This window comes from Homo sapiens, chromosome X (assembly GCF_000001405.40).
Source record: "Homo sapiens chromosome X, GRCh38.p14 Primary Assembly".
Classification (NCBI taxonomy): Eukaryota; Metazoa; Chordata; class Mammalia; order Primates; family Hominidae; genus Homo; species Homo sapiens.
Window position 1 is genome coordinate 98375547 of NC_000023.11, and position 1793 is coordinate 98377339.

The window sequence follows — 1793 nt, forward strand, 5'->3', positions numbered from 1 at the left end:
CTCCATCCCAAAAAAAAAAAAAAAAAAAAAAAAAAAGAAGTAGTAGTACATCTAACTGCTATTAGGATAAGGATAAGGATGGAGACTGATCTTAAGTGCTTCCTGCTGACAGGGGGTGCTGTTTTGGGAAAACAGTAGTGAGATCTCCCTCAGAGGCCTATCTAAGGGTTCCCGGCAAAAGGGGCCATAATCCAAGACTCCAGCTGCATGACTGGAGTTTGATGGCCTGAAGAAGAGACAAACCAGGTTATTGGAAAACATGTATCAAAGTGAAACAAGCAGGGGTAAGGACAGCTAAAAAATCCTGAGCCCTTTTACTGGTTTGCACAGGGAGAGGGAGGCCAAAAGCCCAACCTTTTACCCTTTGGCTGGCATGTCAGGCTTCTTGGTTCCTTTCCCCTGAGCCCAATCCTAAGCCAACAAGTTTAAGATTTGAAAAATTAACTTTTCCCAGTTTGGAGGATGCATCTGAGGGGAGTGTCCTGTAGTACGGAAACACAATTACCTATCAGTGAAGAGAGGACAGAGGAGGAAAAAGGAAAAAAGGAGGTTTATTTTCCAAAGGAGTCTTGGGGGTTCAGGATGCACTCCAAAGGGGTACAGACTGAAGATTAATGGCTACTCATCTAGAAAGAGGGAAGCAAGGCATCCCAGGTTCCCTTCCCTTCCTAGCAAATACCTGTGGTACATGAGAGAGAGAAAGCAAAGCATTGCTCTTTCTTTCTTCTGTCTTTGTATCCCTGAGTCCTGGCAACCACGACAGGGTGCCACCCATGGGTGTTAAAATGGCTTTCACTCATGTTAACAGGGGCGTCTAGGGGGTAGAAGTATCCACTCTTTCCCATGTACACCCTATCTCCCCTGTTGTCAGTAGTCTTTGAATTCCCTAGACCTCATTTATGCCATGGACATTAGCGTAACCTTTATCCATGAAACGGGAAGTTTGGTTTAATCAGCAGAAATCAGTCATGCTCACCTGTGCTGTGCCTTTTAACTTGTGTTATCATCTGCCTTTGAATCTCTCAGATCCAGTTTTCTTTCCTAGGGCTTTGACCCAAAGCTTAGAATTGAGTTTGGGACAAAAATGTGTCTTGCAGTGGGAGGTGCATGGATTCCTTATCATAAGCCAGATACTAAGGTGAAGCTGTGGAATTGAGTCCTCCTCTAACAAGGGAGAGAAAAGGATGTCTTATGACATGCCCAGATAGCTGGTAGCTATGGTTATGCTTGCTAGGGTTTGGGTGCATGATGCTTGGCTTTAGTTAGCTCCCTTGGTCTTACTTTCCCAAAAAGGAACTCTCTGGGTGATGGGCATCCTATTTATTCCCATTACCTGGCAAGATTTGCAGGATAATTGCTCAGAACTAGGATGTTGATCCAGATTTTTACATTACCCATCCCTTTTGTTCTTTCTGAGCTGCAGCCGGAGATTGCTGGTTGGTTCACAGGAGCAAGCAGGGTAAGTCTAAAATGTAGGCAAAAGCTTAAAAACAATTAAGGAGCTTAGAATTTAATGAGAAATGTATAAGTTTTGAAGCATAATTTCTCTCCAGTCCTCATTTTTGGTTAAAATAAACAGTCATGATGGGACTGAGTTGTTTGCAAAATAGACCTTATAGTTGGCCTGATTATTTGCATAAAGTGCAGCAAGAATAACTATTTCTACATAGGCCTTTTAGATTGGCTTTGATAGAACTCTGTTCCACAAGGAATCTCAGATAAGATCGTTTAAAGCTGAGCCCAGCCATTGGTTTGTATCCTCAAATACCTGTAAGTTGGGTGATCCTTTCCTC